At 36.8% G+C, this 27,716-nt stretch overlaps 1 protein-coding gene across 2 annotated transcripts in view, besides 1 other annotated feature; it reads right to left on the bottom strand.

Moving 5' to 3' along the window:
• TLL1 (tolloid like 1) overlaps nt 1–27,716 on the bottom strand; it is a 231,221-nt gene that overhangs the window by 135,850 nt on the left and 67,655 nt on the right. The gene's annotated exons all lie outside the window — the stretch shown is intronic.
• Nucleotides 545–1,744: an enhancer, noted in NCBI's record as "MED14-independent group 3 enhancer chr4:166888016-166889215 (GRCh37/hg19 assembly coordinates)". NCBI's record gives its function as "activates an origin of replication core promoter dependent on BRD2, BRD4, P300/CBP and CDK7 cofactors, and independent of MED14, by STARR-seq in HCT116 cells {active_cell/tissue: HCT116}" and the evidence as "EXISTENCE:reporter gene assay evidence [ECO:0000049][PMID:35650434]".

The raw sequence follows: 27,716 nt of genomic DNA, 5'->3' as shown, positions 1-27,716 counted from the left end.
ACTTCCACATTCACTTAAATATTCATGTACCTAACTATTTTGGCAAAAATAGTCCTTAGCTCAAAAAGAGTAAGGATTGAACCTTAAACAGATAACCTTACTCTATAGAATAGTGGGGAAAAAAGTGTTTTCACCAATCATTGCTTAGTCTGTATTCCTATGTAGAGAATTGATAAATTAGGAATCAGGGATAAGAATTCAGAATTGGCAATAGGAATAGAAAAAGTGTATTCTGAAATCCTTTGGACAACAAGCAGTTTGTTTACTATTACAAGAATGGCAGTCCTTTAGGTATATCATATGATGGCTACTAATGTAATAGTTCTTCAAAAATAGTCAAAACAACCTCTGAAATTTAGATATTTACTTCTTGCTTAGAAATGCTATGTTGTAAAAGAAAAAGACATGTAAACACAAAACTCTTGTTCAGGGAACAAAATTTGGAGACCAAAGACAGGTAAAACGCTCATAGAAAGTTTTCTCTGATGTTTACAACTTAGAGAAGGGATGAAAAGCCGCACTGTATGTGCACTTATTTTTCTTAACAACTCTGTGAGGGTGGTTCGCCCCTTGTAAAGATAACTGAAGTTCAGTGCCGTGAAGACACTTGTCTAAGTTAGAAAGTGGAATTCAAACCTAGGCATTGTATTGTTGTTATGTAAACATCCAAATAAACCTTAAATAGGCTAATCATGACCAGATAAAGGATACACTCAATATAAAGTCTATCTATTGCCTTAAAATTGTTTTCCTTTCCAATTATATCTTAGTACATCAGCTTTGCATTGCTCTACTCCTTTTCTCTATCCAATATTCAGTGTGAATCATCAAATTCCACTGACTCTGCCCTTTACACACCCCTATAACTTTTCTGCCCTTCTAATGTTCCTGTCAGCATGTCCCATCATGCTCTCACCACCTCTGAGCTGAACTAATTAGTAGCTTTCATATTGGCCTCTGGCATGCCACTCAACCAGATTAATCTTCCTGGAATGCTTTTAACATCACTCTTTTGCAAAATGGCTAACAAATATTTCCATCTTTGTTGTGGGCAGTCAGGAACCCCAAACGGAGTGACCGGCCAAAGCCATGGCAGAAGAACATAAATTGTGAGTTCCTCAAATTAATATTTTTATAATTTCTTATGCCTGTCTTTATTGCAATCTCTGAACATAAATTGTGAAGATTTCATGGACATTTGTCACTTCCCCAATCAATGCTCTTATAATTTCCTAGGCCTGTCTTTAATCTCTTAATCCTCTTCATAAGCTGAGGATGTATGTCACCTCAGGATCCTGTGATGATTGTGTTATCTGCACAAATTGTTTGTAGAGCATGTGTGTTTGAACAATATGAAATCTGGGCATCCAAAGGAACAAGATGGCTGCGATTTTCAGGGAACGAGGGAGATAACCATTGGGCCTGACTGCCCGAGGGGCCAGACAGAACAGAGTCATATTTCTCTTCTTACAAAAGCGAATAGGAGAAATATCGCTGAATTCTTTTTCTCAGCAAGGAACAGCCCTGAGAAAAAGAATGCATTCCTAGGGGGAAGTATCTAAACTGGCTGCTCTGGGAATGTCTGTCTTACACGGTTGCAGATAAGGGATGAAATAAGCCCTGGTCTTCTGTAGCGCCCCCAGGCCTGTTAGGACTAGGAAATTCCTGCCTAGTAAATTTTAGTCAGACCAGTTGTCTTCTCTCAAGCCCTGTCTCCTGATAAGATCTTAACAATGATAATGCGTGCCCAGTGGGACATAAAACTTCATCAGCAATTCTAATTTCACCCTGGTCCTGTGATCTCTCTCTGCCCCCATTTGCCTTGTGATATTTTATTGCCCTGGAGGCATGTGATCTCTGTGACCCATACCCTATTTGTACACCCCTCCCCTTTTGAAATCCATAATAAAAACTTGCTGGTTTTGCAGCTCAAGGGACGTCACGGAACCTGCCGACATGTGATGTCTCCCCCAGAAACCCAGCTTTAAAATTTCTCTCTTTTGTAGTCTTTCCCTTTATTTCTCAGACCAGCCGACACTTAGGGAAAATAGAAAATAACCTACATTGAAATATCGGGGGCTGGTTCCCCCGATACATCTTCCCTGGTAAGATTTCTCAGAGTGTGAACATTAGAATTAATTGGAAAGTTACAAAAAAATGTTGATTCCTGAGCCTAACCTGTTGCCACTGGAACATATGTGTGATGACAGAACCCATAAATCTGCATTTTAACTGGAATGCTGGGTGACTTCCATAAGCCACAAAGTTAGGAGGTCCCCACACCTCAAAGTCTGGTTTGATCCTTTGCTCCAGTCTTGTCAGCTTTCCAATCGTCTAGTGATCATGGCTTTGTTCTACCCTTTTGTCTTTATTGAGGTGGTTTGCTAGTGCTCCCTGTCCTCTAATCCTTCTTTTTTTTTTTTTTTTTTTGAGATGGAGTCTTGCTCTGTTGTCCAGGCTGGAGTGCAGTGGCACAATCTGAGCTCACTGCAACCTCCACCTCCCAGGTTCAAGCAGTTCTCTGCCTCAGCCTCCCAAGTAGCTGGGATTACAGGCGCCCACCACCACACCCAGCTAATTTTTGTATTTTTAGTAGAGACAGGGTTTTGCCATCTTGGCCACGCTGGTCTTGAACTCCTGACCTCGTGATCCACCCACCTCAGCCTCCCAAAGTGCTGGGATTACAAGTGTGAGCCACTGCACCCGGTCTAGTCCTTGTATTTTCTAAGTTCAACTCAATGTCCTTCATGCTACCACTCTTAATACTATGATGTGCTCTAGAATTTCAGGTAAGTGAGCATTCCACATCAAATTCTTAGATGGCAATATAGTAAAGTATGAATAGAAGATACATGTGCCTGTCTTTGTAAATAGTGGTTAACATTCTTTCTCAGTGACTCACTGTAGGCAATGTGAACGTTATTGGAAACTGCAGGAATACGTATCTATGCTGACATGAAGGTGCCCATCTCCTCCTCTGATCATGTAGGGTACTTCTCTCCAGCCATTGCTATTTACCTCCAAAACCTTTTCTCAGTCCTTTTCTAGTTCTCAGACTCAATATGCTGTGGGTTAATGCAGCTGATAAGTAAGCTTATTAAAAATACTGTGCTAAGAAAGAGTCAATAAGACTCTGATAGAAAATCCAAGAAATAAAGTGCCCAATTTAACACAGGGTTTTGTGACACAGATTTGTGTTGGATATTGGAGTCCTACATTTATTGCAAAATTCAAAGCTGTGCTCCATAGGGTTGAAATAGCTCTAAATCTGACTTTAGAGTAAAGGGGTGTTGACATAAAATCTTTTGCAAAGAGATTTTTGTATGTAGGGTTTTTAAAGTAAATATAACCTCATCAAAAATTATCTAAACTTATCTACAAAGAAACATATTATGTCTTTTCAGAGTCTAAATACTATCCCAACATGATATACCTATATTTAGAATTTAATTATTCTAATTTAACATAGAAACAAAGTCAAGGACAGACTAAAAATGCAGTTTTTGAAATCTAAATGATTTGAACATAACCAGATAACATCAATCAACATAATTTCATATATTAAAAATAAAAATATATAAATGCTTAAAATTATACATGGGTAATTAAGATAGATGGATCTATTTATTTTTATTGCATTTATTTATTTATTTACTTATTTATTTATTTTTGAGACACGGTCTTACTCTGTCACTCAGTCTGGAGTGCAGTGGTGTGATCATGGCTCACTCTAACCTCTAACACCTGGGCTTAAGCAATCCTCCCACCACAGCCGCCTGAATAGCTAGGACTACTGTCATGCACCACCATGCCCAGCTAATTGTTGTTGGTGATTTTTGTTTCTGTAGAGACAAGGTCTCTTATTGCTTCCCAGGCTCCTGTCCTCCCGGCTCCTGTCCTCAAGCTAGCCTCGCACCTCAGCCACTAAACATGCTGGGATTATAGGTATGAGTTGTCACACCTAGCCTTGACTGTACTTTTGGAAAGTATCTTGAATACTCATACAACAACCCTCGGAGGTAGGAATTGCAACATGTGAGACTAAATATAAGAGAGATTTAATAACTATCCAGAGTTACATCTCAAACATCAAGGCTGGAGGAACCCAGATCTGCATGATGAATTTAAAGTCAAAGCTCTTAGGTCCATCATGCCCAAACACATGCAGTCACAGACAAACATACCTAGAGGCATTAAGTGTTGATACTTTATAGCTTGTACATTACAATGTTGCTCTCATAACATTTTATGCATAATTATCCTCATAACTAACTTACTATGTGTAACTAGCACCAAAGTTAGTATGGTGAAAATAATTTTACACAACAGCCTATTAAATCATTCAGTTATTTTCCCCTGATTTTGAAAAACTGATGAAGATATTGAAACTCAGAAATTCAGCCAGTAAATCACAGAACAGATTCAAACCCAGACAGTCTGATTCCAGAGCCCAAGTATTTAACCATGATGACTTTCCTAGTATCTTTCTTTTGAAGCACTTAATTCATTTTAATGTATATGCTAAGATGTATCTCCCCATTAGGTAGTAAAATTTTAATGAGACTCTGCCAAATGTAGCCTAAAATTTTGAGATTCTAGTATACAGCATGGCAGATGGGAGATTTGCAGTAGGAGATACTGAAACACACCTCTCATAAAGATATGGTTTAACACATGTTATTTCAGTAATTGCTGAAATTTTTAATAACGTGCAGCTGAACTGATATCTCCATGTCTTCCATTCTTCCACTTCTCCCCAACCACACATTTTCACTTCATCAGGTCCATACTGAGCCAAGCACAGCTGCTCCCAATCTGTAAACCTGAGCACTGTCACTGTGGAAACATGTTCTCTTCTATCCTACCAGGCGAAGACAGAGTGTGTTATCTGTTGAGCATCACTTGTACTCCTTATAATTTATGATAAATTATAGACAATTATGGTCCTTTCAGTCTTCCAAAAATTCTGTGTATTTCTTTCCTTCCCCTGGATTACCTTTTCTTGTTAATTTATTATTCTTCAATTCTCAATTAAAAAATCTTAAAATTACAACATTTAAGTTCAACATATCTGAGCTGTAAGGAGAATATAATCTCCCCCACTTACCTGATAAAGAGAGAAAAAAATGATATATGAAAAGCATAAAGTACTGAAAATGCCATCATGAAAAGAAACTATAATCCAAATATTTGCTCATTTCAGCCTTTGTTCAAGAATATGGAATCTTAAAAACCTAGATTCTCCAACTCAACAGTTCTTTTCTTTTTTTGTTCAACTTTTATTTTAGATTCTGGCTGGGGGATGGGGGTACATGTGCAGGTTTGTTATAAAAGTATATTGAATGATTCTGAGGTTTAAAGTATGACAGAACTCCCGGGCATTTGGCATAGTACCCAATAGATAGTTTTCTATTCCTTGCCTGTCTTGCCTGTCTCCTTCCCTCTCCCTCTTGTATTCCCCAGTATTTATCTATTGATCTATTGTTCCCATCTTTACATTCATGAGTACCTAATGTTTAGCTACCACTTTTTTTTTTTTTTTTTTTTTTTTTTGAGACAGAGCCTCGCTCTGTCACCCAGACTGGAGTGCAATGGCACGACCTCAGCTCACTATAACCTCCGCCTCCTCGGTTCAAGTGTTTCTTGTGCCTCAGTCTCCCTAGTAGCTGGGATTACAGGCACGTGCCACCATGCCTAGCTAATTTTTGTACTTTTAGGGAGACATGGTTTCAGCATGTTGGCCAGGCTGGTCTCAAACTCCTGACCTCAAATGAGAGCATTTGGTATTTGGTTTTCTGTTCCTGTGTTTGTTCCCTTAGGATAATTGCCTCCAGCTGCATCCATGTTGCTGCAAAGAACATGATTTCTTTCTTTTCTTTATGACTGGGTTGTATTCCATGGTGTATATGTACCACGTTTTCTTTATCCAGTCCACCATTGATGAGCACCTGGCTTACCTTGCTACTGTAAATAGTGCTGCAATTATCATGCAGATGCTTATATCTGGTAGATCAATTTATTTTCCTTTGGGTATATACCCAGTAATAAGAGTGCTGGGTTACATGGTAATTTGACTCTCAGTTCTTCGAGAAATCTCCAAACTGCTCTCCACAGTGGCTGAACTAATACATTCCCACCAACAGTGTGTAAGGGTTTCATTCTCTCTGCCAGCACAGCCAACACCTGTTATTATTTGACTTTTTAACAAAAGCCATTATGAGTGGTGTAAGATGGTGTCTCACTGTAGTTTTGATTTCCCATTTCTAATGATTAGTGATGTTGAGAATTTTTTCATACTTTTGTTCACCACTTGTATGGCTTCTTTTGAGAAGTGTCTGTTAATGTCCTTTGCCCACATATTAATGGAGTTATTTATTTTTTGTTTATGGATTTAAGTTCCTTGTGCATTCTGAATATTAGGTCCTTTTTAGATAAACAGTTTGAAAATATTTTCTCCCACTCCATAAGCTTCTTGTTTACTCTGTTGACAGTTTCTCTTTTTGTTCAGAAGCTCTTCAATTTGATTAGATCCCACTTGTTAATTTTTGTTTCTATTGCAATTTTTTTTAGAACATAGCCATAAATTTTTTGCCAATGTCAAGAAGAACATTTCTTAGTTTTTCTTCCAGGATTTTTGTATTTTGAGGTCATGTTTCTTCGATGTCTAGTTTTTGAGGGTTTTTATCCTGAAGGGAGGCAGGATTATATCAAAAGCTTTTTCTGCATCTACTGAGATGATCATATATATTTTTAAATTGTGTTTACACTTAATTCTTTAATCCATCTTGAGTTAATTTCTGTATATGGTGACAGGTAGAGATCAAGTTTCATTCTTCTGCATATGGCTAGCCAGTTATCCACACACCACTTATTTAATAAGGTGTCCTTTCCCCTCTGCTTATTTTTGCCAAGTTTGTTGAAGATCAGATGGTTGTAGGTATGCAGCTTTGTTTCTGGGTTCTCTGCTCTATTCCACTGGTCTTTGTGTCTGTTTTTGTACCAGTACCATGCTATTTTGGTTACTGTAGCCTTGCAGTATAGTTCAAAGTCAGGTAATGTGATGCCTCTGGCTCTGTTCTTTTTGGATAGGATTACTTTAACTATTTAGGCTCTTTTGGGGTTCCATATGAATTTTAGAATAGTTTTTTCTAATTCAGTGAAAAATGACATTGGCAGTTTGACAGGAATCATGCTGAATCTGTAAATTACTTTGGGCAGTATGGCCATTTTAAGAATATTGATTCTTCCAATCATGAGCACAGAAGGTTTTTCCATTCGTTTGTGACATGTCTGATTTCTTTCAACTGTGTTTTGTAGTTCTCCTTGTATAGATCTTTCACCTCCTTTGTAAGGTGTATTTCTAGATATTTTATTCTTTCTGTGGCTAATGTAAATGGGACCGTGTTCTTGACTTAGTTCTCAGCTTGAACATTGTTAGCGTGTAAAAATGCTACTGATTTTTTTATGGTGATTTTGTATCCTGGAACTTTACTGAAGTTGTTTATCAGTTCTAGGAGCCATTTGGTGGGATCTTTAGGGTCTTCTAGGTATTGAATCATATTGCCAGTGAAGAGACATAACTTCACTTCATTTCCTACTTAGATGCCTGTTATTTCTTTCTCTTGCCTGATTATTCCGGGTAGAACCTCCAGTACCATGTTCAAGTAGGAATGGTGAGAGTAGGCATGCTTGTCTTGTTCCAGTTCTCAAGGGAATGGCTTCCAGTATTCCTGTTCAGTATGGCCTGTTCAGTATGATGTTGGCTCTGGGTTTGTCAGAGTTGACTCTTATTATTCTGAGACATGTTTCTTCGATGCCTAGTTTGTTGAGGGTTTTTATCCTGAAGGGAGGCGGGATTATATCAAAAGCTTTTTCTGCATCTATTGAGATGATCATATATATTCTTAAATTGTGTTTATGTGGTGAATTACATTTATTGATTTGAAAATGTCGAAACAACCTTGCATCCCAGGAATAAAACCTATTTGATTGTGGTGAATTAACTTTTTGATATGTTGCTGGATTTGTTTTGCTAGTATTTTGTTGAGAATTTTTGCATCTATGTTCATCAGGAATATTGGCTTGAAGTCTTCTTTTTTCGTTGTGTCTCTGCCAGATTTTGGTATCAGGATAATGCTGGCTTCCTAGAATGAGTTAGGGAGGAGTCCCTCCTCCTTCACTTTTGGAATAGTTTCAGTAGAACTGGTACCAGTTATTTGTACATCTGGTAGAATTTGGCTGTAAATACATCTATTCTAGGGTTTTTGTTTGCTTGTTTACAGTTTTTTTGCTATTGATTCAGTTTCACAATTCATTATTGGTCTGTTCAGGGTTTCAATTTCTTTCTGGTTTAATCTTGGGAGGTTGTGTGTTTCCACTACATTTTCTAGTTTGTGAACATAGGAGTTTCATAATAGTCTCTGAGGAATTTTTTGTTTATCCGTGGGATCTGCTGTAATATCATTTTGTCATTTCTAATTGGGCTATTTTGGATCTTCTTTCTATTTGTTAATCTAACTAGTGATCTACCAATCTTGTTTATTCTTTCAAACAACCAACTTGATTTTGCTGAACTTCTGTATGGATTTTTGGGTCTTTATTTCATTCAGCTCTGCTCGAATATAGTCATTTATTTTCTTCTGTTACCTTTCGGGTTAGTTTGTTCTTGTTTCTTTAGTTCCTTTGGTGTGATATTTGATCATTAATTTGAGATATTTCTAATTTCTTGAGGTAGGTGTTTAGTACTATAAGCTTTCCTATTAACACAGCTTTTGCTGCATCCCAAAGATTTAGGTATGTTGTGTCTCCGTTTTCACTAATTTCAAATAACTTTTTTATTTCTGCCTTAATTGTGTGTTTCATCCAAGTCATTCAGGAGCAAGTTGTTTAATTTCCATGCAATAGTGTGGTTTTGAAAGATACTCCTGTTATTTGTTTCTATTTTTATTGCACTGTGGTCCAAGAGTATGCTAGATATTATTTCAACTTTTTCAAATTTATTGAGACTTGTTTTATGGCCAAGCATGTGGTTGATCTTCAAGTATGTTCCATGTGGAGATGAGAAGAATGTATATTCTTTAGTTGTTGGGAGGAATATTCTATAGATGTCTATTAGATGCAACTGGCCAAGTGTTGAGTTAAAAGAGAATAAAATACTTAGGAATCCAACTTACAAAGGACATGAAGGACCTCTTCAAGGAGAACTACAAACCACTGCTCAATGAAATAAAAGAGGATACAAATAAATGGAAGAACATTCCATGCTCATGGGTAGGAAGAATCAACATCGTGAAAATGGCCATACTGCCCAAGGTAATTTATAGATTCAATGCCATCCCCATCAAGCTACCGATGACTTTCTTCACAGAATTGGAAAAAACTACTTTAAAGTTCATATGGAACCAAAAAAAAGCCCGCATCGCCAAGTCAATCCTAAGCCAAAAGAACAAAGCCGGAGGCATCATGCTACCTGACTTCAAACTATACTACAAGGCTACAGTAACCAAAACAGCATGGTACTGGTACCAAAACAGAGATATAGATCAATGGAACAGAACAGAGCCCTCAGAAATAACGCCGCATATCTACAACTATCTGATCTTTGACAAATCTGAGAAAAACAAGCAACGGGGAAAGGATTCCCTATTTAATAAATGGTGCTGGGAAAACTGGCTAGCCATATGTAGAAAGCTGAAACTGGATCCCTTCCTTACACCTTATACAAAAATTAATTCAAGATGGATTAAAGACTTAAACGTTAGACCTAAAACCATAAAAACCCTAGAAGAAAACCTAGGCATTACCATTCAGGACATAGGCATGGGCAAGGACTTCGTGTCTAAAACACCAAAAGCAATGGCAACAAAAGACAAAATTGACAAATGGGATCTAATTAAACTAAAGAGCTTCTGCACAGCAAAAGAAACTACCATCAGAGTGAACAGGCAACCTACAAAATGGGAGAAAATTTTTGCAACCTACTCATCTGACAAAGGGCTAATATCCAGAATCTACAATGAACTCAAACAAATTTAAAAGAAAAAAACAAACAACCCCATCAAAAAGTGGGCAAAGGATATGAACAGACACTTCTCAAAAGAAGACATTTATGCAGCCAAAAGACACATGAAAAAATGCTCATCATCACTGGCCATCAGAGAAATGCAAATCAAAACCACAATGAGATACCATCTCACACCAGTTAGAATGGCAATCATTAAAAAGTCAGGAAACAACAGGTGCTGGAGAGGATGTGGAGAAATAGGAACACTTTTACACTGTTGGTGGGACTGTAAACTAGTTCAACCATTGTGGAAGTCAGTGTGGCGATTCCTCAGGGATCTAGAACTAGGAATACCATTTGACCCAGCCATCCCATTACTGGGTATATACCCAAAGGACTATAAATCATGCTGCTATAAAGACACATGCACACGTATGTTTATTGTGGCACTATTCACAATAGCAAAGACTTGGAACCAACCCAAATGTCCAACAATGATAGACTGGATTAAGAAAATGTGGCACATATACACCATGGAATACTATGCAGCCATAAAAAATGATGAGCTCATGTCCTTTGTAGGGACATGGATGAAATTGGAAATCATCGTTCTCAGTAAACTATCACAAGGACAAAAAACCAAACACCGCATGTTCTCACTCATAGATGGGAATTGAACAATGAGAACACATGGACACAGGAAGGGGAACATCACTCTGGGGACTGTTGTGGGGTGGGGGGAGGGGGGAGGGATAGCATTAGGAGATATACCTAATGCTAAATGACGAATTAATGGGTGCGGCACACCAGCATGGCACATGTATACGTATGTAACTAACTGGCACATTGTGCACATGTACCCTAAAACTTAAAGTATAATAATAATTTAAAAAAAAAAAAAAAGAATGATCCAATGGACTTAGGGTACTTGGGTGGAAGAGTAGGATGGGGACGAGCGATAAAAGTCTACAAATATGGTGCAGTGTATACAGCTCGGGTGATGGGTGCACCAAAATCTCATCAATCTCTACTAAACAACTTACTCATGTAACCAAATATCACCTGTACCCCAATAACTTATGGAAAAATAAAAGTAAATAAATAAATTACATTTAAAAAGGTAAAAAAAAAAATCCAGAATTTCTTTGTTGATATTCTGCCTCAATGATCTGTCTAAAGCTGTTAGTGGAGTGCTGAAGTTCCCCCACTATTATTGTGTGGCTACATTTTTTCATAGGTCTAGAAGTGCTTGTTTTATAAGTCTGGGTGCTGTAACATTGGACGCCTATATATTTAGGATAGTAAAGTCTTCTTGTGAATTGAATCCTTTACCACTATGTAATGCCCTTCTTTGTCCTTACTGACTATTGTTGGTTTAAAGTCATTTTGTCTAATGTAAGAACAACAACCCCTGCTCTTTTTAATTTCCATTTGCTTGATAGATCTTTCTCCTTCTCTTTACTTTGAGCCTGTGGGTATCATCACATCTGAGATGGGTCTCTTGAAGACAGCAATTGGTTGGGTCTTATTTTTTTGTCTAACTTGCCACTCCGTGCCTTTTAAGTGGGGTGTTTAGATTGTTTACATTTAAGGTTAATACTGATATTTGAGGTTTTGATCCTGTCTGTGGTTAGCTGGTTGTTTTGTAGATGCAATTGTGAAGCTGCTTTATAGGGTCTGTGGGCTATGTACTTTAGTGTGTTTTTGTGGTATCAGGTATTGCGGGAAGTCAGGGACCCCAAACAGAGGGACCGGCTGGAGCCACAGCAGAGGAACATAAATTGTGAAGATTTCATGGACATTTATCAGTTCCCAAATTATACTTTTATAATTTCTTATGCCTATCTTTACTTTAATCTCTTAACCCTGATATCTTTGTAAGCTGAGGATGTACATCACCTCAGGACCACTGTGATAATTGTGTTAACTGTACAAATTGATTGTAAAACGTGTGTTTGAACAATATGAAATCAGTGCACCTTGAAAAAGAAGAGAATAACAGTGATTTTTAGGGAACAAGGGAAGACAACCATAAGGTCTGACTGCCTGTGAGGTCAGGCAAAAAAAGTCACTTTTCTTCTTGCAGAGAGCCTATAAATGGACGTGCAAGTAGGAGAGATATTGCTAAATTCTTTTCCTAGCAAGGAATATTAACATTAATACCTTGGGAAAGGAATGCATTCCTGGGGGGAGGTCTATAAACGGCCGCTCTGGGAATGTCTGTCTTACGTGGTTGAGATAAGGACTGAGATACACCCTGGTCTCCTCCAGTACCCTCAGGCTTATTAGAGTGGGGAAAAACTCCACCCTGGTAAATTTGTGGTCAGATCGGTTCTCTGCTCTCGAACCCTGTTTTCTATTGTTTAAGATGTTTATCAAGACAATACGTGCACCACTGAACAGAGACCCTTATCAGTAGTTCTGCTTTTGCCCTTTGCCTTGTGATCTTTGTTGGATCCTTGTCAGTAGTTCTGCTTTTGCCATTTGTCCTGTTCCCTCAGAAGCATGTGATCTTTGTTCTGCTTTTTGCCCTTTGAAGCATGTGATCTTTGTATCTACTCCCTGTTTTACACCCCCTCCCCTTTAGAAACCCTTAATAAAAAGCTTGCTGGTTTGAGGCTCAGGTGGGCATCACGGTCCTACTGATATGTGATGTCACCCCCAGTGGCCCAGCTGTAAAATTCCTCTCTTGGTACCCTTTCTCTTTATTTCTCAGCTGGCCAACACTTATGGAAAATAGAAAGAACCTACATTGAAATATTGGGGGCAGGTTACCCTGATAATCAGGTAGTGTTCTTTCATTTCCATGTTTAGAACTCCTTTAAAGACCTCTTGTAAGGCTGGTCTAATGGTATCAACTTCCCATAGCATTGCTTTTCTGGAAAAGATTTTATTTTTCCTTCACTTATGAAACTTAGTTTGGCAGCATATGAAACTCTTGGTTGAAATTTCTTTCAATAAAGATGCTGAATATAGGTCCCCAGTCTCTTCTAGCTTGTAGCCTTTCTGCTAAGTCTGCTGTTAGCCTTATGGGTTTCCCTTTGTAAATGGCCTGCCCCTTTTCTCTAGCTTCCTTTAATAATTTTTTCTTTCTCATTGACCTTGGAGAATCTGATGACTATGTGTCTTTAAATGAATCATTTTATGCAATATCTCCCAGGAGTTTTCTGAATTTACTGAATTTTCATGTTGCCCTCTCTAGTGAGACTAGGGAAATTTTCATGGACCATATTGTCAAATACCATTTTCCAAATTGCTTACTCTCTCTTATCTCTCAGGAATGCCAATAAGTCACACATTTGGGCTCTTTATATCTTATATTTCTTGGAGATTTTGTTCATTTTATAATTTCTTTTTTCTTTCTTTTTATTTTTATTTTAATTTTTTGGTCTGATTGGGTTGATTTGAAGGACTGGTCTGCAAGCTCCAAGATTCTTTTCTCAGCTTGCTCTATTCTGTTGTTACTGATTCCACCTCTATTATGAAATCCTTGCAATGAAATTTTCAATACCAGAGTTCAACTGGTTTTTTCTTAAGATGGCTACGCTGTCTTTCAACTCCTGTATCATTTTAGTGGCTTACATGGATTGTGTTTCAACTTTCTCCTGAATCTTAATTCTGTCTATCATTTCAGCCATTTCAGTCTGGTTAGGAACCATTGCTGGGGACCTAGTGTGACAGCTTGGAGGTAAGGAGACACTCTTACATTTTGAATTGCCATTGCCAGAATTCTTGCGTTCATTATCTCTCATCTGAGAGGGCTGATGTTCCTTTATCTTTGTGAAGTTGCTGTCAATTGGATGGGGTTTTTTGTTTCTATATTCCTTATTTCTCTTGGGGTTTGACCATAGTTTATATTGAGTGCAGTCAATTACCTTTGTTTCTGGGTGCTTTCAGAGTGCCAAGGCTCTCTATGGGATATTTATTTCCAGCAAGGTTCCTGACTTGGGTTTCATATGCAATGTGTGCATTTTCTGGTTTCCAGGGTGTCCTGACATCTTAGCTGTGGCTCTCCCAATACCTGCAGGTCACAGGGCAAGAGAGGTCTGGCAAAGTTACATAGGCATCCAAAAGCAGAGGACACAGAGCCATGAAGAAGAAACCAGAATCCAGTTCTTTTCTTTCTTTCGCTCTCACACTCCTAATGCTGTGCTTTACTGTGTTTTTCTCCCAGTACTATTATTAAGTTTGTGGTCATAATTTTTTCCATTTATCTTTTTATAAGCCCATCAATATTTTCTGGAATCATAAAAAATCTTCATTTTGGAGAACCTACTTATTCCTTCTAAGTGTATTTATCCCTTCCACTCCTCTCAAGCGTGTATGTGTTCTGGGTATTTCAGACAAATAGTCAATCTCACCCCAAAACATTCTTAAAATCCTCCTCCTCTCCCCATATCCTTTTGTTTCTCTTCTTATTATTGGGTAATGTTGTATAGCCGTTGGCAATATTCTGATATCCAGCCAGTTAGTGAATATTTGAATGAAGCCAGCCATTATTTGAGGAGTTAAATAAAGATCTCAAAAAAGACATAATAAAAGTAAATCTTGAGTTTAAAAGTAAAAACAGTAAGATAATATCCAAATTAGGAATTCAGCCATCAGAGTAAAATTGAAAAGAAATAAATAAATTAGGTGAGCACCAATGTTTGAAAACAAAGATCACTTTTGAAAAGTAAAAATATAAGAAAATATTATCACTCTTTATTACAAGAGATTTTGCCACAGGATCCCTTCTTGGGCTTAGAACCTTACGTTTCCAATGTAATTATAATTTCAATTATAAAATGCTAACATTCACATAATTCCATTTCAGAAACCCCTTCTCCCTTAAAAAGCTGCAAAAGGAGATTTAAAGAAAAGTACACTCCAGTGTTAAATAAAGAGGTGTGTAAATGGCATTTCGTCCTTGACTAGACTGAGTGAAATTCACTCTATTCATTTGTACATAATATTTATATATATATATATATATATGACAGAGCAAATAGATGACCTATCTCGAAGGTGTTTCCTTCTTTCTTTTTTTTTTTTTTTTCTAAATGAAAAAGAAATACCACTGCAGTTAACATCTCTGCAAATGGAAAGCAACAACAACAAAACCAGCTGGATGCTGCAGCATGAGGTGATATATAAATAGATGCTCCGTCAAGAGAACATAGCTGAGGAGAGGCAGGTAGAAATTAGCTCCTGGTGCTGCAGTGTTGGCAAAGTCCATCAGACTCCAGATGGAGAGGGAAGCATGGGGGAGCTGCAGCATGTGAAAGCACAGGCTGTCCATCTGGCTGTACCTCACGGTTCCTGAAAACTGCAGGTTGGGCAACAACCCGAACAACAACAATAAATACCAAAGGACAAATACTATATACACTCACTTGGACCCGTCTCCCACACATGACCTAAAGCTATAGTTTAGTTTCAACATGTAGAAGTCACTCATCCTTTCACCATGGCACTCTGATAATCATGATATCAAACCTAATACTTTTTGTATTATGGCTTCAACAAAACAACAACTGCTTTTAACATCTTATTCTGACCTTCATTTTGATTTGATATTTTTAGACTTGTTTTGTGTTTGAAAACATCTGCCAAAAAAAGTTTGAATCCACCAGGGTTAGAAGTAAGTAAACGTACACAAGTGACGTTGGAAATTGAAGCAAAAAATGTCAGCAATGAAATCTATATAACACCTCAAGTTTTCTGTTTCTTTTAAAACCCATTCTTGCTCTTTAGTGGGGGGATGCTATGTCCATTATAATTTGAAGGAAAAATGACATTTTTTCTTTAAATTTTTTTATTTTTTTGACTTTTGAAAACATTGATTACCCCCCCAGCCACCAATAATATGAAATATAATGAATGAATATTTTGGCAGTGCCAATTTTATCATGCCTTCCACTGACTACTAATACATTAGAATCATGAAAACAATAACTGTTGGTGTCCTTAGAAGGAGTACACTATTCTGGGGCTATAACTTCATGTCTTTATTTATATTTTCAAAACTTTGAATTCATCCATTCTCATCAGTCTTAAAAATAAATCTGTGAGATGCAAGGGAAATTATTAAGTGAGGGGTCCCAATTCATAAACTGAAAATCAATATTTAAAACCCACTATTTCCTTCCCTGTCTACTTCATCCCATAACTATTCAAACCATTGTTTAAAATATTCAAGTTAATGCATAATTTAGAATTAACTCCCAAGCAAGTTTTCTTCAAAACCAGAATACAATATAATCTAATGTTCCAAATGCTTTCTGGAAGCTGTACAAAAATGTTTAAAAGTTATACTGAATCCATAATATTTTGTAGTTTTAATAGATCAACAATATGGACAAGGAACTATAAAGTACTGCAGAAATTTAGTATGATCCTTTAGTATTTTTCAGATTTAGAAGAGCATCATTTCACATTTTCCTTGACTTGGCCAACATTGTGGAGTTTGTAAGAATAATTTGGTGAGCAGGAAATTCTCCCTTTTTAATCACATGGGAAATATTTGTACCACAAGTACTATTTGTAATTTTGAAAAGTCAACTTTTTATTTCTATCTCTTAAGAGCTACCTCAACATAAAACATAACAGAGCAGTTTTTCAGATTTATAATAAAAGGGTAAAAATAAGTACAATGCCACATAAAGAATGGTACAAAGTAGATTAGTAGTGCTCTAGCACTGTGCTCTCTTTTAAGATCAACAACATTGCTATAAAAAGAAAAAAAATTATCAACAACTACAATTAGATTAACTTGGTAATAATGGATCAATTATTATAATAGAGTTCTGGAATATAGCAAGATGTTTATATTCATTGCCTGGAAAACTTCACTCCAGTGTAGAACACAATGGCTGAGTAGGGAGCTTATGAAAGCACTCAGGCCCACAGGAACTGTCTCCACTACCAGTAGCACCAAGACCTGAAGTCATACACAACTTAGTCAAATTCTTCTCCTCCACATAAGTACTATGTCATTAGGGTAACACATCTAATATAGCTCTTTCTTTTTAACATGACATGGTGTCCTCTTGAGACTCTTTCTCTTCTTGAAAGATCACCTAGACCTTCTTGAATGTAGCCACTGACCACATTCACTGCCCATGGCATTAACTGTCTAAATGAAGATAATAACTGGCATTAGCTGTGCATGGGCCAATTATGACCAAGACAGACTTTTTGTTAGGGGTTCCATTCCATTCCTGCCAGCAGTCTGAGTCGAAGATTCCCCTATGTTTCAGCACTACACCACAGACTGCCCAGACATCATCTGGCCACTATTTTTCTCATTCGAATTCCTTACTCTAATCCCAACCCTCCTGCATCTGACATTTTCTCTGTTTGTAAGATTTTAAACAGTAATTCAATTTATTTAATAGGTGTAGGCTATTCAGGTTATCATTTCTTTATGGGTAAGGTTTTGTAGTTTACATCTTTCAAATAATTTGTCTATTTCATCTAGTCTTTCAAATGTATGTGCATAGAACTTTCATAGTTTTCCATTTTTTGTGATGCTAATATCAGTAATTACATCCCCTCTTTTCATTCCTGGTATTTGTAATTTGTGCATTATTTTTCACTTGGTCAATCTGGTTAGAACTTTATCAATGTTATTGATTTTGTTCCCAAAGAATCAGCTTTTGGTTTCATTGATTTTTCTCTAATGTCTGTCTCTTTCGAGCTTAAATGACTTTTGCTTTGATCTTTATGATTTCCTTCCTTGTGCTTGCTTTAGGTTTTCTGTTCTTTTTCCAGATTCTGTAGGTAGAAGCTAAAATTATTGATCTGAGAACTTTTTAAATATAAGCATTTAATGCTATAAATTCTCCCCTAAGAACTGTTTTAGCAACATCACAAATATATTGATGTTGCATATATATTTTCTTTCAGTTCAAAATATTTCCTCCCTTCCTTTGATATTTCTTCTTTGACCTTTTGAGTATTTATTGATATGTTATATACGTTATTTAATATTTCCAAATATGTGAGATTTTTAACATATCCTTCTGTTGTCAACTTCTACTTTACCTCTATTATTGTAAAAGTTGAATAATTTCGATTTTTTAACTTAGATATTTTTTACAAACAATGTTGTCTATCTTGGTGAATGTTCCATGCATACTTGAAGGAATCTCTATTCTGCTGTTGTTGGGTAAAATGTTCTATAAATATCAACTGGGTCATGTTGAATGATGATGATGCTCAAGTTTTCCAAATATATTTGCTCATTTATCGCCTATTTGTTCTACCAATAAGTGACAAAGGGAATGCTAAAGTCTCCAAATGCAATGGTGTATTTCTCTCTCTTTTCAGTTCTTGCTTCATATCTTGTGATAATTTGTGGTAAAAATAAATAAAACAACAAACAAAAAAACCTATATAAATAGTTCTGAGTTGCTAAGTTGACACTTTTTACATAATATTCCTTCTTCTCCCTGGTAATTATCCTGGTTCTGAAGTCTTCTTTATTTGATATTAATATTGACACTCTAGCTTTTGTTTTAATTTGAGTTTGTGTGGTATATTTTTTCCATCCTTCTATTTTTAACTTAATAGTATAATGATAGTTAAGTTTCCAGTAGAAAGCATACAATTGGGCCTTTCTTTTATATCCAATCTGATCATCTCTGCCTTTTAATGGTGTGGCTAGATCATTTACATTTAATGTGGTTATTAATATGTTTGGATTTATGCCTGCCATTTTATTATTATTTTTCTACTTGTCGTTTACGTTTTGTTGTTGATATAATTTGGCTGTGTCCCCACCCAAATCTCACCTTGAATTGTATCTGCCATAATTCCCACATATTGTGGGAGGGACCCGGTGGGAGATAATGGAATCATGGCAGTGGTTTCCCCCATGCTGTTCTTGTGGTAGTGAATAAGTACCATGAGACTATATTGGTTTCACAGGAAGAAACCCCTTTTGCTTGACTCTCTCTGTTCTCGTCTGCCACCATGTGAGATGTACCTTTCACCTTCTGCTGTGATTGTGAGGCTTCCCCAGCCACGTGGAACAATCTCTTTCTTTTGTAAATTGCTCAGTCTCGGGTATGTCTTTATCAGCAGCATGAAAACGGACTAATACAGTTGTATGAGTTTTCTATCACTGCTGTAGCAAATTAGCAGAGTGGCTTAAAACAATACTCATTTATTATTTCATAGTTTCTGTTGGTCAGAAGTCTGGAGACAGTGTGGCTCAGTTAGTGTCTCTGTTTAGAGCTTCATAAGGCTGAAATCAAGGTATTAGTAGGGCTACATTTTTTTGTGAAGGTTCTGGAAAAAATCGGCTTCTAATCTCACTCAAGTAAATTCAAAAAATTCAGTTCCTTGCATCAACAGAGTGGAGGTGCCTGGTTTCTTCACTGGCTGTTAGTTGGGAACATTCCTCAAATCTTTATATTACCTGCATTTCTCCTCACCTTGCCCTCCGGTAACAGTGGGTTGGGTCTTTCTCATGTTCCCAGTCTCTCTTACTTCCCCTTTTGATGAATTTTTCTAATTCTTTGCCTTGCTTTTCTATTTTTAACAGATCATTTAATTACAGTAGGTCCATTCAGATAATCCAGGATAATCTTCCTATTTTAATATCAGGTGATTACATCTTAATTATATCTGAAAAGTCCCTTCACAGCTATACCTGTATCATCACTTGATTGAATAACCAGAAGAGAGGAAGCCTGAGGAAATATCTTTAGAATTATGTCTACCACAGTCTTCCCTCTAACCCTCAAAGATTCAAGCCCCTCCCAAATGCAAAATACCTTCATACTTCTTTCAGTGTTTCCAAGAGCACTGCTATGCTTTGAATGTTTTTCCCCTCCAAAACCCTTATTGAAATTTAATCACCAATGTGGCAGTATTGAGAGGTGGGGACTTTAAGAGGAAGAGCTCTTATGAATAGATTAATCCATTCATGGATTAATGCATTAATGGATTATCACAAAACTGGGACAGGAAGAGAAGCCTGGGCTAGCATAATCAGCCCCCTCACCATGTGAGGCCCTGCACTGCCTGTGACTCTGCAGAGTCTCCATCAGCAGGAAAGCCTTCATCACTTGTAGCTCGTCAACCTTGGGTTTCTCAGCCTCCATAACTGTAAGAAACAAATTCTTTTTCTTTATAAATTCCTTAGTTTCAGGTGTTCTGTTATAAGAAACAGAAAGTGGACTAAGACAAGTCTCATTCCATTATAGCAACAACTCAAAGCGTAAGAATCTCATTTAAATCTCATTTGCTCAAAAATCCAAAATCTCTCAACTAAATCTAGTTTAGTTGAATAATCCATTGGGTATAACTCCTGGGAACAATTTCTGTCCATCTGTGGACCTGTGAAATTAAAGACACAAGTTATCTGCTCGTAACATACAATTGTGAGACAGGCATTGGATGTCAGTTATAAATACACCAGTTCCAACAGGGGGAACACGGATGGTAGAACAAGCTGACGGGTACAAAGCAGTATCCACGTACAGGTCAGCAAAATACATTAGGTTTCTAGGCCTGGGAAAACTCCTCTGTGGATCACAGCTCTATCCTTTAGGCTCAAAATGCCACGATTTGGGCAAGCTACTCTGCCCTCTGAGTCAACTTTTTTCCTGCAAGGTAGCACGTGTTGGCAGCTAAGAGTTTCATCAGTAGTTTTATTTACCAGTAGAATTTGAGGGTTCAAACAGCCTTATTTCGTTTTATAGCCTCTGTCCCTTTCTGTCCATGCTGGCAGTGTTCTACTGGTATACAATTCTCAACAATCTTGTGAGTTTGGCATTAATTTAACAGGGGTTCACTACATTAGACCAGATGCCTTCCTACAGATTTTTCCTAGATGATCTTGTTTGGCTTCTGCAAACATGGATCAGTGACAACACCCTTCAGATTTCTAGAAGCACCCTGGTTTGAATGAGGGGGTTCTGTAAGTCACACCCTTAATCTCTTTAAAGAGTTTTTTATGTAACTAAATACTCTGATCTTTTAATCTCTCTTGAGATTTCAGAGAAGAATCATACAATCATATCGTTAGCCTTTTCTCCAGTGCATTCTTTGCTGACAGTGAATCTCTTAATTTTAGTCTTTTGCTGGGTAAAGTGAAAATTTCTAAAATCATTAAGTCTTTGCTCCTTTTTGTTTGACAGTTTTTCCCCTCAGTTTATCTCTTTCCTCTCACATATTTCTATAAGCTGCAAGAAGAAGCCAGGTGTTACGGACTGAATATTTGTGCCTCTTCCTCCATGACCCCAGCCAAGGAAAGTAATACGTTGAAGCCCTAACATCCAATGTGGCTGTATCTGGAGTAGGAAAGTAATTAAGGTTCAGTGAAGTCTTAAGGATGGGGTCTTGATTTGATAGGATTAGCATCCTCAAAAGAAGAAACATCCGGGAGCACCCTGTCCCCACCAGCTCACACAAAGAAAAGGTCATATGTGTACACAGTAAGATGATGGCCACCCACATGCCAAGACAGCAGCCTCAGAATGAACCTACTTTGCCTACTTGATCTTGGACTTCCCAGCCTCCAGAACTGTGAAGAATAAATTTGTTTTTATTCCACCCAGTCTGTGACATCTTGCTGACAAATACACTAGGTAATACTCTCAGTATTTTGCTTGGAAATCTTAATATCCAAGTTCATCACTTAAAAGTTCTGCTTGCAACATAACTACAAGACATAATTTTGCCAGTCTCTCTTCATCATATAGCAATTGTTCCTCTTTCTCCAGTTTCCAATCACATGTTCCTCATTCCCTTTTAAGTCCTCATCAGAAGGATTCTAAATTTCTACTATTGTCCTGTTCAAGGTAATCTAGGCTTTTTCTATAATGTTCCTCAAAATTCTTCCAGTCTTTTCCCATAGTCTGATTCCAAAGCCACTCATGCATTTTTATGTATTTGTTGCTGAAGCACCCTACTTCAGAAACGAAAATATGCATTTGTTTTTATTACTGCCTTAATAAAGAATGACAAATTTTTACGGGCACCATGGCTCACGCCTATAATTCGAGCACTTTGGTTGAATGAGATGGGCTGATTGCTTGAGCTCAGGAGTTCCAGACCAGCTTGGGCAATATGGGAAAACCTCGTCTCTACAAAAAAAAAAAAAAAAAAAAATTAGCTGGGTATGCTGCCATGTGCCTCTAGTCCCAGCTACTTGGGAGGTTGAGGTGGGAGGACTTGAGCCTGGGAGGTCAAGGCTGCAGTGAGCTATGATCATGCCACTGCACTCAAGCCTGGATGACAGTGTGGGATCCTGTCTCAAAAAAAAAAGGAATGACAAATTTAGTGGCTTAACACATTATTTATCTCACAACTCCTGTCGGTCTTGGCTCAGCTGTTTTCATTGCTTAGAGTCTTACAAGGCTGATCTTGAGGTGTCAGCAGAGCTGCATTCCATTCTGGAGGCTCTGGAAAAGGCTCAGCTCCCAAGCTCATTCAGTGTTGGCAGAATTCAGTTCCCTGCAGTTAGAGAGTGAAGTCCCAGTTCTTTGGCTGTCATCTCGGAACCACTCTCAGCTCCTTAAGGCCACGTGCATTCCTCCTCACCTAGCCACTCCAACAACAGCAAGTTGAGATCTTCTCAGGCTTCATTTCTCTCTAATTTCTCTCTTCTGCTACATCTTTCCAACTGACTCTTCTGTTTTCTTATGCTTTTAAGAGCTTTATGTGATTACAGTGGGCTCACCTGAAAAATCTAGGATAATCCCTCAGTTTTAACGTGTGCTGTTTAGCAAACTTAATTCCCTCTGCAGAGTCCCTTCAGAGCAGTACTGTACCTGGATTAGCTTGACTGAACAGCCTGTGGACAGGTATCTTGGGGTGGAGGTGGCAAGACATCTTTCGAATCTGCCTAACACATTTATGTTCTTGTTTTTCATTCCCTGCCATTTTTTGAGATATCTGAATATATTTTACATTTCCGTTTTAATTTTTCTCTTGGCTTTTTTATTATAATCATTTATACAGTTCTTTATATAATCTTTTTAGTTGTTGTTCTAGTGTTTACAATATACAATTCATACTTTATATCACCTATTTAGAATAACTTTATCATTTCAAATTTTAAAAAATGACAAGTACATAGCTCCCTTACCCTCTCTCACTATGATGTTGTCATATACATCACACTGAAAGCCCTACCATTATCTCTGCCCTCTGATGAATCACCAACCATTCTCTCTCTACTAGACAACTTCTGTCAACATATAAATTGCTCCAATATGTATCATTCTTTTCAAAGTCATCCCCTGATCCCAAGTGTCCCTAATACTTCTATACCATTATCTGCTAATCATTCAGATAAATGTTTGAAAATTGTCTAGATATGCTGCCGTTAGATCCTCCTCTCCTACTTAATAAATCCTACTCAATTTTTGTCCCATTCACATCACTAAAACTTCTCTTGCCAAGATTAGTAATGTTTCAGTGGCATCAGGCAAGGCTGACCACTCATTCTCGGTCCTCACAATCCTACTTTTTCTCCTATATCATCAGCTATTCCTCATCGGTCTATTTGCTAACTCTGCAAAATTCTATTTCCTAAATGTCTGAATTTCTCAAGCTTTATCCCTGGACTTGCTTCCTTCTCAATACTGCCTCCCAGATTATTATACCCATGCCTGTGTATTTGAATAATAGTGATATATCAAAGATTACCAAGTTCATTTGTTGAATTAAAACCTCTTTTCTGAGTTACCGACTCCCATATCCACTGCCTAATTGATATCTCTACTTGGATGTCTCAGACATCTTCCACATAGCATATCTAAAATCTTTTGATCTACTACCCCTAATGTGTAGCCTTAATGCCAGAATTACACATCTGCAGAAATCTCACAGATTTTATCTTCTCCCAGTTTCAATCTTATTTTTTTCCACTAACCACCACCACAAGAGTCACCATCTTCTTCCCTGGATACTGTACAAGCCTCCTACTGGGTTTCTCCTGGTTTCATTCTTGCCCACATCTGAACCAGTCTCCGAGAACAGCAAATTTAAACACTCTAAAATTCACTTTGTCATCTCCTGCTTAAAACCCCATAATTATTTCTCTTTATACTGTGAAAGAAATCCAATTTTTAAAAAATATGGCCTTAAGTCCCTGATAAAGTTGATAATCTCACCTCATGCCATAGTCCTGCCACCCATTATGCTCCAGAAACACTGGTCTTCCTTCAGGTCCAGGAACACATCACGCTTCTTCCTGCCTCAGGAACTTTGCATAAGATGTTATTTGTGTGTGAAGGAATATACCCTTAACCACTCATTCTTTCTTTTTCTTACATTGTTTGAGTATAAATCATGTGCTAATCACTTTGTTAGACGCATAGACTGCTGTTAAAAATACAGATAAATTCCAGGTCTTCAAAGTCTACCATGTAGGTCAGAGAAGACAAATAATTTAGACTCTGTTGCTTAAAAGAGCAATAGAATGTCAAAATTTGATGTACAAAAATAACTTTAATACAGTACATTTTAAAAAATCTTTTCATCGGACATAGCTTAAAACCAGCTGTTGGAAGTACCAATAATAAAAGCATCTTCAAATGCTACATGTACTTCCAAAGGGGCATTTCATTATTTTATTATAAAGATATATCAGAAGACAGCTTATTCTCAAATAGCTGAGCCCATAAAGCATAAAACAAGACTTTATCTGAAACTACTAAAAATGTGTATGTACAACCACAAAGAGGTCAATTCCTAAAAGGAAAGCGGAATAGGAAAACCTAATAATACCATGATGAGCAGAAGCCAATATACACTGTGCACATGTAGCTGCAATAAAATATCCTAACTATAAATGATCAATTCCCAATAAAATATAGAGCAAGAAGTCAGAAATAAAAAATAACTCCAATCTAATTTAGCAGCTTTATTTATATAGTAGATGCATTTTTTTTCATGGCTTTAAGTGATGAGGTCAGTAATAAGTATTTTGCTTCACATTTTCCAAATGTGGCTTAGGAAGACGATAGGAAACAATTTCCAAATAACCACAGCTAGAACTCAGACTCATGATTTACTTAATATTCCCTGGCATGAGTATTTTAAAGGTCCAATTTTTAAGGAGATAAGCAGTTTTATTTCAAGGAAGCATTCTCTTTTACGTGCATTTAATCTATGCTTAAGAAAAATCATATTGAAGAGTATAAGAAAGAAATAAAAAATATAAAATATTACTAAGGAGGAAAAAACTTCTGATCTTTTAAAATTTGGAACTCACAAGGCTCTCTCAGAAGGTTTATAAGAGCATAAATAAAATTAACATTACAGTACATACAAATAATGAAGAGAGTTTTTCTATCTTATCGTGGAGATGACTCTTAAGAAATTAAACATTTTGCTTTTTTGCATGAAAGCTTAAAATTTTCTGTTTTGAATACAGGTTTTAAAACCACTAAATAATTAGACTGCAAGGAAGAAAAATCCATTTAAGCAATGATTCTATTTGAATGAGCTAGCAATCTTTACTCATATGCTGAGTAAAGGAAATGAATAATGGAGTTAATCTTGCAATACAATTAATTTTGATTTAACGTACCTAGACAAATGTTGCAAATTTAAAGGCGAATAAAGGGAACTTGAATGTCCTATTCACCTTTGGTAAGTGAAGAATTATTTTCTGCTCTTTTCAACAATTAACTGAAATATTCTCAGTGAAAATATCTGACATGAAAATAAATGGTGCCCATGATCCAGGACCAGTGATAAACTACACATTTTGGTTTCCTGAGAAAATGTCCATATGTGATTACATGAAAAGTCTCCATATAATCTAAGACACTAATAATGATCATAAAAACAGCTGTCACTTATTAAGTAAGCATTCTAAGGGCATGTATGCGCTTAACATATATTATCTTTATTCTTACAGTTATCCCATGAGGGTGGAATAGTATTGAACCCATTTTTACAATGGAAGAAGCAGAAGCTAAAAATAAATAATTTGTTCAAATTCCACAGCTTATAATTAATATATATAGTATATATATAATTATGTAAAATATATACACACACATACAAACACACACACATTCTGCTCTCAATTACTTCCCTACTACTTTATACTGGAAGGTATTCGGTTAGATTACGTTCTGGTGATACAAATACAGATAGGAGGTTACTTTTGCCTCAACCCAATCATGGAGATAGACAAAACAGTAACTGCAATGCAAAATGAAAAGATAAAACATGAAGAATGACATGGGAGCCCACAGTATTGTTTTTAGTTCAGCCTAAGGTGGACAGAGAAGGAAGGCTTCCTGCTGTAAGTGATGCTGTTGTTCAAACTGAGTCTTGGCGGAGGATGGAGGGTTAGCTAGAAAAAAAAAAAAAGGAGGGTGGTGGGAAGCACCTTGGAGGCAAGTGCATGACAAAGCCATACAGATATAAAATGGCTCACTTATTCCAGCAACTGCAAATGCCAATGTTGTTGGGAGCATAATGTTTGTGGAGAGAAATGGCCAAAAAATAAAAATATATCAGCAAAATGTTCCTGATGAAGAAACCATGATTTGAGTTCTTTTGGGAAAGCAACTTAATCTTTCTCTGAGTGCCCATTTCCATCTGTAAAATGGGTCAATAATATCTAGAGTTTCTCTGAGGAATAAAGGTGTTAATATCCAAAACTTAAAACACAAGATTGACTAGGACACCTTACACATTGAATCATTTGCTATTACTAATAGAAGAAAAGTAACTGGGTCCAGACCATACAGCTAGTAAGTGTACTAGCCAAGACCTAAAATCAGACTGAAGGAACCCTAAAGTCATTGATTATCACACTACCTGAACCCTAGTGGCCTATGAAATGCAGTAATTATGTTTTAAAATCTAGAAAAATAAACACTAATAAACAGCTATTGGTTATAGGATTTTGTCCTTGTATGTGGGAGTGCTTTGTTTAGACAATTATTTCCTACATTTAGATTAATTTTAAGTTTCTTTTCAAATGAATATACTTCAAATCAGGTACATTTTTATGTTGACACTGGGCATTAAATATCTAAACAATTTGTTAAGGAGTAATGCCAAATTAGATCAATTACTAAATCTCAGCAACAATGAATTACAAACTATATTAGTTTTGTCATCCATTCAGCAAGCTTGTCCTCTCTCTCTAACCTTCTGCATAAATTCTACACTATGCTCTAATGGCTTGCACTTTTGGTTCATCCATTCATGGTACATGCTATCTATGCTTTCAAATGATTTCTTCTCTTCCACTTAACTCTAGACTCTTTCCTAAAATGGGATTCTTGCCTCATCATTACGACAAGTTCAATTTATTCTGTAGGACATCAGAAAAATTACCCCTTCTCAAAGTCTCTCTTTTATAAACTGATAAATAAGGAGTAGAAATCATCTCTGCATCATCACACAGCAAGGACCCATTAAGTAAGTTCTTTGTGTTCAGAAGTAAAGGCAATAGCGCGAGTCATAAACAAACAAATCATGTCTTTCAAACTTACATACCAAGAAGGCATCCATTTTAAGTTTTATATGAGCTTGACACAATTACGAAGACCTGAAGAGGGAGAAAACCTACCTGTCTCAGATCTAAATGATATAAAATGATCATAAAATCTCTGATATAACAGAATTATGTTAAATTCTGAGTTATTCTGTACAAATAATAAAATAAGCAATCTAAGAGACAGAGTTGAGCAAATGTATGGCATTTTCAGCTAAATGGCAGAATGTAGAACAGCCTAGGAAG

Source organism: Homo sapiens, chromosome 4 (genome assembly GCF_000001405.40).
Source record: "Homo sapiens chromosome 4, GRCh38.p14 Primary Assembly".
Taxonomy (NCBI): Eukaryota; Metazoa; Chordata; class Mammalia; order Primates; family Hominidae; genus Homo; species Homo sapiens.
The sequence above is the reverse complement of the archived record's forward strand: the minus strand, read 5'-3'. Positions and strand labels throughout refer to the sequence as shown.